General features: G+C 42.7%; 1 protein-coding gene across 3 annotated transcripts in view, besides 1 other annotated feature; it reads right to left on the bottom strand.

The window, feature by feature from the left end:
• The window catches only part of KIF1B (kinesin family member 1B), a 171,034-nt gene that overhangs the window by 42,670 nt on the left and 113,968 nt on the right, over nucleotides 1-14,396 (bottom strand). For all 3 annotated transcript variants that reach the window (NM_001365951.3, NM_015074.3, NM_001365952.1), the window contains 6 exons: nucleotides 14,039-14,176; nucleotides 12,575-12,823; nucleotides 4,296-4,414; nucleotides 2,192-2,277; nucleotides 1,731-1,860; nucleotides 1,401-1,563 (listed from right to left, as the gene is read on the bottom strand). In NM_001365951.3, the coding sequence (NP_001352880.1) occupies nucleotides 1,401-1,563; nucleotides 1,731-1,860; nucleotides 2,192-2,277; nucleotides 4,296-4,414; nucleotides 12,575-12,823; nucleotides 14,039-14,176 (885 nt within the window). The remainder of the gene's footprint in view (nucleotides 1-1,400; nucleotides 1,564-1,730; nucleotides 1,861-2,191; nucleotides 2,278-4,295; nucleotides 4,415-12,574; nucleotides 12,824-14,038; nucleotides 14,177-14,396) is intronic.
• Nucleotides 12,247-13,446: an enhancer, noted in NCBI's record as "BRD4-independent group 4 enhancer chr1:10385546-10386745 (GRCh37/hg19 assembly coordinates)". NCBI's record gives its function as "activates an origin of replication core promoter dependent on BRD2, P300/CBP, MED14 and CDK7 cofactors, and independent of BRD4, by STARR-seq in HCT116 cells {active_cell/tissue: HCT116}" and the evidence as "EXISTENCE:reporter gene assay evidence [ECO:0000049][PMID:35650434]".

The following is a 14,396-nucleotide window of genomic DNA, read 5'->3' as shown; positions in this document are numbered from 1 at the left end:
CTGGTAATATGAACTTGTTGTCTTCCAAATTAGTTCACCCGTCTGAGAACACTAGCATGCTTTTGCCAAGTGCTCCAAATCCCTGATTCCTGTATTGCTGGCACCGCAGCATTCCTGGGGTTCCCTGACGACAGGTGAACTCATTCACAGTGCTCTGCAGCCATACCTTCCCGGCACAGGCCAGAGGAGCGACTATAAAAACACAGGACGCCTTTGAGGCTGCTTTCAACAGAAGCAACATGCCCTTTTCCCCAGAGCTAACACCAGGTAGAGATGCTGCTCTTTTTAGGAGATTGTAGGACAAAGGTCAACTCACTATTATTGTCACTTCAGACATCAGTTAACCAAATAGATGTTTTCCATAAAACGTATCAGTTGCCTGATTAGAATAATAGCAACAGTTCCAAAAAACAGATTCATCTGGTGAACACTATCCTGCCCTAAGTTTGAGGGTATGAGTGAAAACACATTAAATAGGTGAAATCAATGCTCAATGGGTAATATTCCAACAACTATGACTTGTAGCAAATGATATTAGTGGCTTACTATATAGTGATCACATTTAATTTAAATCACATTTGACTCAATTTTCTGTGATAAAACCTATACAAAAGCTTTATAAACTGCACTAGGACCCATGGGACGGCCAAGGCACATTCTGAGGGGAGAGGGATGGCAGAACCCAAAGCAGCCTCTTGGTGGCACCAGTGGCAAACTGAGGGCGGTAGGTATGGAGGGGTCACACTTCAGTCTCTTGTACTGTGGCCCTTTCCAAGTACTGAAAAGACAAATTGAAGTTTGGAGGTATTAAAACTGAAGATTCACAAAAAAATGTTTTCCTGGGGCAGTCTTGAGAAGAAAGCATCCAGAGCACAGGGTTTGAGAGGGCCGCGGGAAAGAGCAAGTCCTATGTAGATGAGAAATGAGAGGTATCACATCTTCCCTACATACTAGCTTTTTTCAGTTGATGTAGAATTTATCCTTCTTTACATTGTTTAAATTTTCCTTTTCCCGAGTATTAAATAGGCGTAATTGCTAGCTAGATAAGTCATTGCTTTCAGGCTTATTAATAAGACATTTCAACATGAAGAGGACTAGAAAGACTCATCAACAGGCTTATGTGATCAGACCCTACATTCCTGGTAAAGGGGGACCGCTCACAGCAGAGCCCTGCAGCAGGATGTGCAGCATGCTCCTCCTGCCAGGGAACCCTGTTGCATTCCAGGACAGGTTTCTGGTTCTCACTCCCATAGGAGTGATGAAAGTATTTTCCTTCAGAGACTGATCAGTCTTTGTCTCAAGAGTGTTAATCCCTCACACATGTAAAGCACTCTACAGTGCACAAGAGATGTCACCTCGGTTAGCAGCTAGCTGGGAGGCAGAGCAAAGGGGCAGCTTACTTGAACTGACAGAAGATATCTGCATACTCTGGGAGGATTCCACTGGCCTGCAACACTGTTACTCGGAAAGTGAAGGCACTGCCCAGTTTCAGGTGGTTGCCAATCTCTTCAGAAAACCCTTCCATTACCATCTTACCATCCAGCAAAGTGCTTGACTTCAAATCTAAAGAGGGTCAAATGAAGACACAGATGGTTCAAATAATGCAAAGAGGAGGGAGTTGGGCATGCTTTCCATTCCTAGTTGATGAAGGCCACTATGTCCCTTGATAATGGTCAATATTTTCCCTTTGTCGAAAATGTCCCCAAGCACAGTAAACTATGTCTACATACCCAAGTCATTAATTCGACTGATTTCTTCTGGAGGAGTGATGACCTCAGAACTCTGACCCTGTCCTTCCACAATCCTCAACTCCTCCAAGGACAGACCAGAACGAGTCATTGCAACAGACGAAAAGTCACTCTGAAAAAAAGGCAGGGGCAGATACATGGTAAAGTAGTATAAAAACGTATTTTTCCCCAGTTGCCTTACTTCTGTTTATCTGTCCAACAAATAATAGTGACTGGAAAATTATATGGACTGAGGGCTGTCTGAGGAAAGGCAATGAATAAAATATGAATATTGAGTCTATACACCTTTACCTTCATAATTGTTAGACATGTCCCATATTCTATTGAACTACTCTGTGGCAACCAGCACCCTGTATTTTTCAGTTTTACAGGAGAACTGATCTCCAATGCTGAACATTCTTTCTCTTTCCACAGGGTTTTCCTTCTTCCTGACGGTTTCTCACCTGATTAAAGTATTCATTATCAAAAGATATTTTAGCTGTTCCTGACTGTCGAATTCCAGAGCCATAATCAGGAGCTTCTTCATCCGCTAAAGCAGAAAAAAAAATTAGCAAGAATTGAGTGAGACTACACAGGGGGAGGGAGGGAAAAAGCTCTTGCTGGATTATAAACTCAAGTCTTTGGCATGAGAGAATGATACCAAAGTAGTAACACGGCATGGGCTGCTTCGCACTCTATTCATGTAGATTTATCAACTTCCTCAGCTCAAATGAGACTAGTCAATAAAGAATCGGTTTCAGGCCGGGTGCGGTGGCTCACGCCTGTCATCCCAGCACTTTGAGGGGCTGAGGTGGGCAGATCACGAGGTCAGGAGTTCGAGACCAGCCTGACCAACATGGTGAAACCCCGTCTCTACTAAAAATACAAAAATTAGCCGGGCGTGGTGGCGGGCACCTGTAATCCCAGCTACTCAGGAGGCTGAGGCAGGAGAATTGCTTGAACCCGGGAGGCGGAGGTTGCAGTGAGCCGAGATTGCACCACTGCACTCCAGCCTGGGCAACAGAGCGAGACTCCGTCTCAAAAAAAAAGAATCAGTTTTATTCTTGAGATTGTTCAAATGTCATACCTAGAAATCCTGACTGTCTCCATGCTGGCAAGATAATAGTCAATAATACCCAACAAGTATTTGAAAATATTATATTGTACTTGTGGAGGAGACTTCCATATACTCAACACTGGTGATTGTGTCACAAGTTTCCATAGGGGAAAGGCTGAAAGGTCACTGGACACAGCCCAGCATTTGGGAATTAAGACAGAAAGATTACAGCAAATGACCACATTCTTTCCTCAGAACATAGGCTGGATCATGGAAAAATGGAAAATACCAAAATCTTTTTTTTTTTTCAATTGTTTTTTAAGAGATGGGGTCTCACTATGTTGCCCAGGTTGGCCTCAAACTCCTGGGCTCAAGCAATCCTGCCTCAGCCTCCCAAGTAGCTGGGACTACAGGCACGAGCCACCACAATCAGCTTATATCAGCTTGACCCGTGCATTACAAAACAACAGCCAAACAAATGTCTATTACAAGTACTCTGAGAAAAAAACAAACAAACAAAAAAACAACAACTAAGCAAGACAAAGGCCTAACAATCCTTTGTTAATAATGAAGCAGTTAAGATATATTATTTAGGCCAGGCTGGGTGCAGTGGCTGACGCCTGTAATCCAGCACTTTGGGAGGCCGAGGTGGGCAGATCATCTGAGGTCAGGAGTTTCAGACCAGCCTGGCCAAAATGGTGAAACTTCGTTTCTACTAAAAATATAAAAATTACCTGGGTGTGATGGTGGGCACCTGTAATCCCATTTACTAGGGAGGCTGAGGCATGAGAATCGCTTGAACCCAGGAAGCAGAGATTGCAGTGAGTTGAGATTGTGCCACTGCGCTCCAGCCTGGGCAATAGAGCGACACTCCGTCTCAAAACAAAATAAAAGGCCAATGACTGGCCGGGTGCAATGGCCCACACCCGTAATCCTAACATTTTGGGAGGCCAGGGCAGGAAGATCACTTGAACTCAGGAGTTCGATCGAGACTATGCTGGGCAGCATAATGAGACCCCAACTCTATAAAATTTATAAACTTAAAAATTAGCTGGGATGGTGGTGTGCATCTGTAGTTCCAGCTATTCAGGTGGCTGAGGTGGGAGGATGGCTGAGCCTGGAGGTGAAGGATGCAGTGAGATATGATTGCACCATTGCACTCCAGCCTGGACGACAAAGTGAGACCCTGTCTCAAAAAAAAAAAAAACAACACACCAATGACTTTTATATAGTTAATGCAAGAGCTGTTCTTTAACATGTTTAAGGAAATCTCTTTACCCCATTATTGCAAAGTAGCAGTAGTCTGGACTAAGCAGGATCTATTTGTGATACTTGGGAACAATTGCTAGAAAGGAGCAATAAAGGCTTTCTCCAAAGTATGTGTCTGTATATTACACATACAAACTCCCCACAGTTTGTATGTGTAATATAAGCGTGACCCACGCAGAATCAGCCTGCTTTGTCTCTAGACAAAGAACTCACAGCTCTCATTTCAGAAGAGGGTCACCTACCTGCGATGGCCTGTACAGCCACACGCAGAAATCCCCGCACTTCACCTTTCTCACTGACGATGGCCACCCTGTGGATCAGGGGCACGGGATACAGCAGATTGCTCAGGTAAACAAATGCCCTAAAGACAGAAACCAGGAGACAAATGTCAGAACATCCATGGAGAGATAAACTGGCTTTCAGATTCACTGAGAACATCTTCCTGCAACTGTGAGCTGACTTCTGGCCTTGTCTTAAGACCCCTTCTCAGTCCTAGCCTCTCAGATTTGCCTCCAGCTGCCTTTTCAGCACAGATAATGAACAAGCAAACGCTTGGCAGAACTGTTGACGAAGACCAACACACACCAAATCATGCTCTAAAACTTAACTACTGTAGGGAGAAGAGTCACACCTGGAAGCAGACTTTCAAGATACTGCTCTATGAATGCTGCTCGGGCAGGTTGGAGGAGGAGCCCATTCAAGAGCTCAACCTTTTTTTTTTTTTTTTTTTTGAGACAGAGTCTCGCTCTGTCGCCAGGCTGTAGTACAGTGGCACGATCTCAGCTCACTGCAACCTCCGGCTCCCGGGTTCAAGTGATTCTCCTGCCTCAGCCTCCCGAGTAGCTGGGATTACAGGCACGTGCCACCATAGCCAGCTAATTTTTGTATTTTTAATAGAGATGGGGTTTCACCATGTTGGCCAGGCTGGTCTCAATCTCCTGACCTTGTGATCCACCCGCCTCGGCCTCCCAAAGTGCTGGGATTACAGGTGTGAGCCACCGTGCCCAGGCGAGCTTAACCTTTTAATTTAAGAAATTATAAAGAGGTTTTGTTTCATTTTTCCCAATAGATAAAACAGAAACCAGGAGACAAAAAAGGCAGGGAAATGGGACGAAATACAGTTAATAACTCTAAAATAAATTCCATATCACAGCATATGGTCTTTATTGGTTGCTTTTTGTCTGATTTTGAGATGGAGTCTCACTCTGTCACCCAGGCTGGAATGCAGTGGTGCAGTCTCGGCTCACTGCAAGCTCTGCCTCCCAGGTTCACGCCACTCTCCTGCCTCAGCCTCCCGAGTACCTGGGACTATCGGCGCCCGCCACCATGCCCAGCTAATTTTTTTGTATTTTTACTAGAGACAGGGTTTCACCATGTTAGCCAGGATGGTCTTGATCTCCTGACCTCGTGATCCGCCCGCAACAGCCTTCCAAAGTGCTGGGATTACAGGCGTGAGCCACCGCGCCTGGCCTATGGGTCTTTATTGTTACCTTATTTATTTATTTATTTTGAGATGGAGTTTCACTCTTGTTGCCCAGGCTGGAGTGCAATGGCGCAATCTCAGCTCACTGCAAACTCTATCTCCCGGGTTCAAGCGATTCTCCTGTCTCAGCCTCCTGAGTAGGCTGGGTTTCTCCCTGTTGGTCAGGCTGGTTTCAAACTCCTGACCTCAGGTGATCTGCCCGCCTCGGCCTCCCAAAGTGCTGGGATTACAGGCGTGAGCCACCGTGCCTGGCCATTTATTGTTACTTTAAGAAATAACTATTATTGGCTGGGAGTGGTGGCTCATGCCCGTAATCCCAGCACTTTGGGAGGCTGAGGTAGGCGGATCACCTGAGGCCAGGAGTTCGAGACCAGCCTGGCCAACATGGCGAAACACTGTCTCTACTAAAAATATAAAAATCAGCCGGGCATGGTGGCATGCACCTGTTGTCCTAGCTACTCAAGAGGCTGTAGCAGGAGAATCGCTTGAACCCGGGAGGTGGAGGTTGTGGTGAGCCAAAATTGCACCACTGCACTCTAGCCTGGGTGACAGGGTGAGACTCTGTCTCAAAAAAAAAAAAAGAGGCCAGGCGCGGTGGCTCATGCTTGTAATCCCAGCACTTTGGGAGGCCGAGGCGGGCCGATCACAAGGTCAGGAGATCAAGACCATCCTGGCTAACACGGTGAAACTCCGTCTCTACAAAAAATACAAAAAATTAGCCAGGCATAGTGGCAGGCGCCTGTAGTCCCAGCTACTCGGGAGGCTGAGGCAGGAGAATGGCGTGAACCCGGGAGGCGGAGCTTGCAGTGAGCCGAGATCGCGCCACTGCACTCCAGCCTGGGCGACAGAGTGAGACTCCGTCTCAAAAAAAAAAAAAAAAAAAAAAAAAAAAAAAATGACTATTATCTTCAGGCAGGGTGACTGACAAGGTGAGGTCAGCAGACACATATGGGCAGAGAAGCTCTGCAGCAAGAAATTTTTGAGTTCTAAGATTAGAGGAGACTCTGAATGGGCATCAAGATAAATGTTAAGGGCCGGGCATGGTGGCTCACGTCTGTAATCCCAGCATTTTGGGAGGCCGAGGCAGGCGGGTCACCTGAGGTCAGGAGTTCGAGACCAGCCTGGCCAACATGGTGAAACCCCATCTCTACTAAAAATACAAAATTTAGCCAGGCACGGTGGCAGGCACCTATAATCCCAGCTACTCGGGGGCGCCGAGGCAGGAGAATCGCTTGAACCCAGGAGGTGAAGGTTGCAGTGAGCCGAGATCGCACCATTGCACTCCAGCCTGGGGGACAAGAGCAAGACTTCGTCTCAAGAGAAAAAAAGAAAAAAGATAAATGTTAAGGGAGAAGATGACAGTTGATGCCTAAAAGGTTTGCGTTTGCTCCTAGAGTTCAAAACCTAATTCAGAAATGCATAAGTGAAAGCTAAATTATAGCTCTAACACTTTATATTTCAAGCAAACTAGCAAAGTCCTATCACATTTGTATTTTCTTCTTTATTGTGTAGCTACTACTTTTTTAAAAAAGCAATAAAAACTGGTGGTCACAAAGCTAGAGTGTTCATTCCAATTAGTGAAAGGGAAATAGAATCTAGTTCCTACTATGATTCCAGTCTTCCCATTTGGTATATGCTGATCTTCGAACATAAGACAAAAGACAAAGACAGACACTTGTATCAATAAATCAAACAAAACCAAGTGACATACATGTTTATCTGATGCTTTTCCTGCTCTGAAATCTATTTTAAAACAAAGAGAGGAGGAGGATAGACTGGGTATTTGGGATTTCAACTCAAAGTAATGAAAATTATGAAAACAGACATAATACATCACAGAAAAACAAATGTTAACATAACTAGAGCATAAATGAAATACAAATGAAACATATAACAAAAATAACTGCAAATGAACATTAAATCAGATGAAATAATGCCACTTCCCTTTCAGTCTGCTCCAAAGCAGGAGAGAGAGAAATGCTAAGAAACAGAGAGTTGAAGCTCTGGTGTAAAAAAACGTAAGAATGAAAAGTTCTAAAAAGTTCTAAACAAGACCCTCAAACAACAACTACTGCAACAGAATTTAAAAGACAAAGAATTTGGCGTAAGGTATCAAATGGATAATTTCACTTTCAAAGTCAACACATACACAGATCACCCTCCTCTATTATGGGCACCCCAGCTAGACTTGCCCATTTCAAGGCCTGGGCCATTAAAGAGCCATCGCACATGTCCCCTGCCTGGAGTCCTCTCTGCACTCGATGCCTACACCTCATGCCTTTGATGTCTTTTTTTTTTTTTTTGAGGTGGGGTTTCACCATGTTGGCCAGGCTGGTCTCAAACTCCTGATCTCAGGTGATTCACCCACCTCAGCCTCCCAAAGTGCTGGGATTACAGGCGTGAGCTACCACACCCAGCCTCACGCCTTTGATTTCACATCTTCAGGTCTTATTTCAAACACCACTTTCTCATAACAGGTCCCCCAACGTTATGTGATCTCCGACAACACACACAACTATTTCATCACTGCTATAATTTACATTTATTTGTGCAATTATTTAATTTATGTCTGTGTCATCCATCAGACTATAAGTCTATGAGGGCAGGAACCATGTCTGGTTTTGCTCACCACTGTCTGCAGAGGGCTGGGCCACTCTATAAATATTTGGTAAGTGAACATCTATGTGCATAAGGGAACAGGAAAATGATTTGCCTCTTATCTTTAAGTAGAAGTGGAAGCTTTTCTAGAAAAATGGGTTATAACAGAAGCAGAAAAGCAAAGCCATCCAACTTATACTAGGTTGATTTTTCAGAGCCACCTCATAATGGATATTAACTATATAGAACACATTTAGATTCCTAACTATATCTATCTTAAAAATAGCTATTCAAAAACAGGAGCCACCTTTTTTTTTTTTAAAGAAAGCTTATATTAAGCACACATTACATTAAAGTACTGTTTGCACACACAGTAAAGATGAGATTGCCTTTCTGCCTATGGCAATGGCTAGTCCAAGTGTGGGAGCATTGAAGGCCATTATTATAGATTTCCCTTTTTAGATAATTCTGTAATTCTATGGCAGGGACATCAGCTCCATGACTACACAATCACACATTCACTAGATAGCACCTTGTTATGTTACCAGAATATAGCCCTTAGCTCCAAATCAATGCTATATAAACATTCTATTCTGAAGCTTTTTAAACAGAATTTTCATAATTACTCTGCATTTTTGAGAATCCTTATACTTTGACCTAGCAGACTGAAGGAGAACAGGGATGAGAGAGGGGAATATGGAAAGGATACGTTAGCAGAAAGTTCAATGAAGTTACTTCAAAAAGTGGAACAAACTGGTCAACATAAAGATAAGAAAAATTAGCAAAATTATGGTGCTACTTATAGAAAGAATGTCAGTTAAGGTACTTAGAGAGATCACAGAATCATCATCTTTAACCCCCTTTTAACCCAGAAGACTAGCTTAAATATTTTACATTTCATCCCAAATTATGATGGATGGTTCATAACATCCCAGCATGCCATAAGAGAATAGCTAAAGGGACAAGCTCTTTTTCACTTGCAATATAAAGTTTTAGCAGAGGCAGTCATGGCTAAAAAACAAACTTACTAATGGAATTTCACAAGAAACTAATTTTTTTTTCCCCCTAGACAGAGTCTTTGCTCTGTTGCCCAGGCTGAAGTGCAGTGGCGCGATCTCGGCTCACTGCAACCTCCCCCTCCCGGGTTCAAGCAATTCTCCTGCCTCAGCCTCCTGAGTAGCTGGGATTACAGGCACAAACCACCATGCCTGGCTAATATTTGTATTCTTAGTAGAGACGAGGTTTCACCATGTTGGCCAGGCTGGTTTCGAACTCTTGACCTCATGATCTGCCCACCTCGGCCTCCCAAAGTGCTGGGATTACGGGAGTGAGCCACCGCACCCAGCCAGAAACTAAAAATTTTACAAGTGATTTATATTGGCAATTATATGCCAATAGGAGAAATCCAATCTTGTGAATCACAAAAACAGGAAAGTAGTTACTTTCCTTACACATACAATGACCACTACACAACTGGGTGATGTTGCATTATTGTAAATTTTGTTTGTAGAAGAGAAATGTAGTCAAGGGCAAAAATGGAAAGCTATCCTTCACTTTACTGATTGCTATTATATTATTTCACTTCCTCCCCCAGTCCTTTCTTGCAAGGTTAGAACTTGGGAACCTAAACAAATGGAAAAATCAATTCCTGAGCCACAGCTCCATAAGTATTTTATGTGAAAATCAAAATAGAGTTGATTGCTTTATACCTATACTTACATCTGACATGATTAAAAGAAAGAAAACTATAAAACTAGAGAGAAAACAATACATGTATCCTCAGTTAATTTCCACATTAAGTGGGATTGTCTTGAGTTTCCACACAACTTCCTCAAAATACAAATGCTTCTTAGTAGAAGTCTTAACCAGGATATTCATTTTTGCTAGTGTAGATGACAGAATATGAAAGTTGAAAAAGATCTTTATGGCTCTTTATTTCTACCTGTTATTCACTTTACACTTGAGAGCCCAAAGGCTTCACTTTAAGTTGCTTGTCATAGTGACAGAGATGGCCTAGGACCCAAGGCTTCTCCTGACAATTAGGTCAGGCTTCTCCTCACCATGTTACGTAAGATGAAGCTGCCTACTCTTCACTGCAATGGTATAGAACACAAGCGAACAGTTTTAGAAACTGTGTAATTAGCACTGGGACAAAGTTTATGGCCAGAAACTGGGTTTTAACTTCCAACTCCCTTAGAACAGGATGGAAACGTGCTGAAGAACACAGGCAGCCATCAAATGAAGCAAGCATTATTGTCCCATTATTTGTACATACCTTTCTCAATTTTAATAAAAATCAGCTTCTCTGAAATTCTACGTTATCTATTCATGGCGATATGCCAGTAGAAAACAATATTCATGGCCACATAATCCCTTTATGTTTATTCATGGAAAAACTGAATTCTAAATGCTCCTTTGCCACTGGAAAACCCAGAGACTGTCTAATACTATGACCTACAGTTACACTTGAGGCTTTCATTTCTATCAAAAAAGCTTTTCTTTTCCCCCTTTCCATAAGAATGATCATCTTCTAATTTAGTTATGAGGTTCCGACCATGTGACCAATACCATACTACAAATTCTGTTTTATTTTATTTTATATTTTTTGGTAGACTTGGGGTCTTGCTCTGTCCCCAGGCTGGAGTGCAGTGGTGCAATCATGGCTCACTGCAGCCTCAAACTCTTGGGCTCAAATTATCCTCCTGCCTTAGCCTTCCAAGGAGCTGGGACTACAGGCATGCACCACAACACCCAGCTAATTGTTTTTTAAATTTTCAAAGAGACAGGGTCTCACTATGTTGCCCACTCTGGTCTCAAACTTCTGGCCTCAGCCTCCAGAGTTGCTGAGATTACAGGTGTGAGCCACTGCACCTGGTGAGATAAATTTTAGAACCTATGTCTCTACTAGGTCAGGAGACTCGCTATCCTTTAATTTTTAGATAACTGGTACTCATCCATTTAACACTGACATAATTCCCTTATTTATAAAGGATTCAACAATATGTGATTCTAATGTACCATTAAATTTAAATTTAATACTTTTAAACCTGGACATACTTTTTGGTTAATTCAATGCATGCTCTACTGTTGAACTTGTAATTTAAATTACCTCAGCATGAAGGCTGGAGATGAACAAAGACACCAGTATTAGGATCATGTGCATAGAGAGTTCTGCATCACTGAAAGATGGATGCACAAACTGAGAGCCAGAGACAATGCCTCAGTTTGGTGACCTAGTCTTAACACAAAGCAGTTTCATATAGCACCAAACAAATATTCATTTTTTTTTTTTTTTTTTGAGACGGAGTTTCGCTCTTGTCACCCAGGCTGGAGTGCAGTTGTGCAATCTTGTCTCACTGCAACCTCTGCCTTCCGGGTTCAAGTGATTCTCCTGCCTCAGCCTCCCAAGTAGCTGGGATTACAGGCACCCGCCACCATGCCCGGCTAATTTTTTGTATTTTTAGTAGAGACGGGGTTTCACCGTGTTGGGCAGGCTGGTCTCAAACTCCTGACCTCAGGTGACCCGGCCGCCTTGGCCTCCCAAACTGCTGGATTACAGACGTGAGCCACCACACCCAGCCTAATTTTTGTATTTTTAGTAGAGACGGGTTTCATGGGTCACGTTGGTCTCAAACTCCTGACCTCAGGTTATCCACCCACCTCAGCCTCCCAAAGTGCTGGGATTACAGGTGTGAGCCAAAGTGCTAGGATTACAGGGGTGAGCCACCGTGCCTGGCCAATATTCACTGCTGATGGGGTCAATAGATGATTTTCTGAGCTTTATCATTATAAACCCTATAGGTTAAAATTTTAGCAGATGCCAAAGATCCGTAGATAGGCTCAGTGAAACTGGCCAAAGACAGGCATCCGTTTTAGGTAAAGGAGAAGCTTAACTTTCCTGATTCTTTTTAGGATTCAGTAGACTAAGCAAAAAATAAATTTAACTCTACTCCTGAATCTACTTTTGTCCTCTGACTCCTGCAGTACCACAAATTCTTCAGCCAAACCTTGGCCTCACTCTGCCCCCTCTCTCATGTTACCTCCATATGCTTTTTCAATCACAATCCTTTAAAAAGGAAACATCTAGACCATAATACTATTCACTGAACCCACTACGTTTGACTCTTAGCTTTACTTTCTCCTTTGGGGTTCCCTTCTTCAGAACAAAATTACTGGGCAATTTAAGACAAGGTGTCTTCCATGCAGTCTTCATATATTGCTACGTATTGTGCTGAGTAGACTGAGGACCTCACACACAATGCCTGAGAACCATCTCAGCCAGACCAGCACTGACTAAGAGCTTGAAGTATTGGAGAACTTGAAAAAGAGCATTCATGAGTTGAATTGGCTAATGCAAGGTTATCCAAAATTGTGCAAGCAGGGAGGCCTTCAGAGCAAGAGCTGGTCCCTTTTCGCCTTTCTCACAATAACCTCACCAACCTTCCCACTAAAATGAACCAAGGGGATCGGTCGTAAAACGGGTCATGCCCGTCACTGAAGAGATCTGATCCCTCCTCCGTCCCTGCGTCAGAGCCGGCGTCATCCACGAATGCCTCATCATCAAAATCCTCCATCTCATCTTGCTGCTCGTCAGCCAGCTCAGTGATGTCGGAATCGGCCGTGGAAAAAGTGGGGGAGGGTGTGCGGTCGGCAAGGCGCTCGTTCACACAGCCGTGGAAAATGGGGGAGCTAGACACCAGGTAAGACGCCAATTAACACAGCCAGGGAGAGAGGAATAGTTGGTTAAACAGGAAGCAATAGGTGCTAACAGGACAGAATCCACTGGGGAATCAACACAATAAAAGCAAATGGAAAAGCAAAAGGATAAAATAAGCATAAATCATTTGGGTCAGGTGAAAGGGAACAAGGGCAAGTTGAAAAAGTTATGTAAGGACTAATCCTTAGAATAAGAAAAGCAAAGGAAACACGTGAGTAGACCATCCTAGGTAAATACTGTGCTATAACACGTTTACATTCTCCAGTTCACATAAAAGATCAGCATCCAGGCCTCAAAGGACCCACTCAACATCAAAGTGAAACAAGAAGGCTTTCAGTCTTTACTGAAATTCTCACGTCATTTTGGAGCAGAAACCAAAATGGATGAAATGGCATATGGCAAAGCAGCATGTGCTTTGCTAGGGTAAGATGTGTTTGGCCAATTCATCTCTTTGAAAAACTACTTTGCTATCAGAGCAGAGTGGAAAAGATTTACTTCATTTCCACAACATACTATGACTTCAGCAACTCCTTTTTACCCAGCCTCTTTAAAAAACATCACAGGGTTTTCTGCAATTGAAAAAGCAATTCAAATTCTGAAATCATAAGCTCAAAGTTAAATTTCCCTGCTTTGAAAATTTGAAAACCTCTAAGAACACTTGACTCAATATGGACTCATAGAGGCACTATGTGTTTTCATTAAGTGCTGGAAATAATGTATAAAAAAAAAATGAGGCTGAAGGGGACTACCAAGGTGCAATTAATTTACCCTTGCAATGACTAAAGTGGGATGAATTGCTTTTTAAAAAAAAGAAAAACAAATCAGATCACGAAGAGATTGTGTCTGATAAGCTGTACTATGAATTTAAACTGTGTAGGATACAGGCGTAAGTTTTCTTTTCCTTCTAAATTTATCTTAATCAATTACAGAACACTTTGTAAGTTTAAAGTCAGGGAAGATTTAAATACTTTGGCTGAAAGTTTGAGAGTCGAAACAAAAATGCCTGCTGAATATAACTGAAGGGAAATATACCAAATGACGCAGTGGTTGTGAGTGGATAAGATTATAGATAAGGCCTTTTTACACCTTTTTTTTTCCTCTTAACTTTTTATATTATCTGCTCAGGTTTTAAACACTTAAAACTAATCATTATTTTAAAAGAAGACATCAACAAAATCATCACATACCTCCCCACAAGTTTGAACCAGTGGAACCGATCATAGAAGGGATCGCTGCCAGTCACAGTGGTTTCGCTTTCGTCTTGGGCACTGGAGGCCATCTCCCCTGCCCTATCATACATCTCTCGCATCAAATCCAGCCTCTGCCTATTTAGTAAACACAAAGCACATTGGGTTAATATAATGAGATTGCATTAAACTTTCACTTTGGAAGCATCTTCCGTTCAAGATTTTCTTCAAAAAAAAAAAAAGGAGTTGCTCCCACTGTTTAATGTTACTAAAAAGAATGAAGCCCAAAAATACAGAAACCAACACTCAGTATCTAAAGTGTCTTGATTCTAGAGATAAGCCATCAAAAGTCAAGAAT

The sequence above is a fragment of the Homo sapiens genome, chromosome 1 (genome assembly GCF_000001405.40).
Source record: "Homo sapiens chromosome 1, GRCh38.p14 Primary Assembly".
In the NCBI taxonomy this organism is placed as follows: Eukaryota; Metazoa; Chordata; class Mammalia; order Primates; family Hominidae; genus Homo; species Homo sapiens.
Note: the sequence above shows the minus strand (reverse complement) of the source record. Positions and strands in the feature narration are given on the sequence as shown.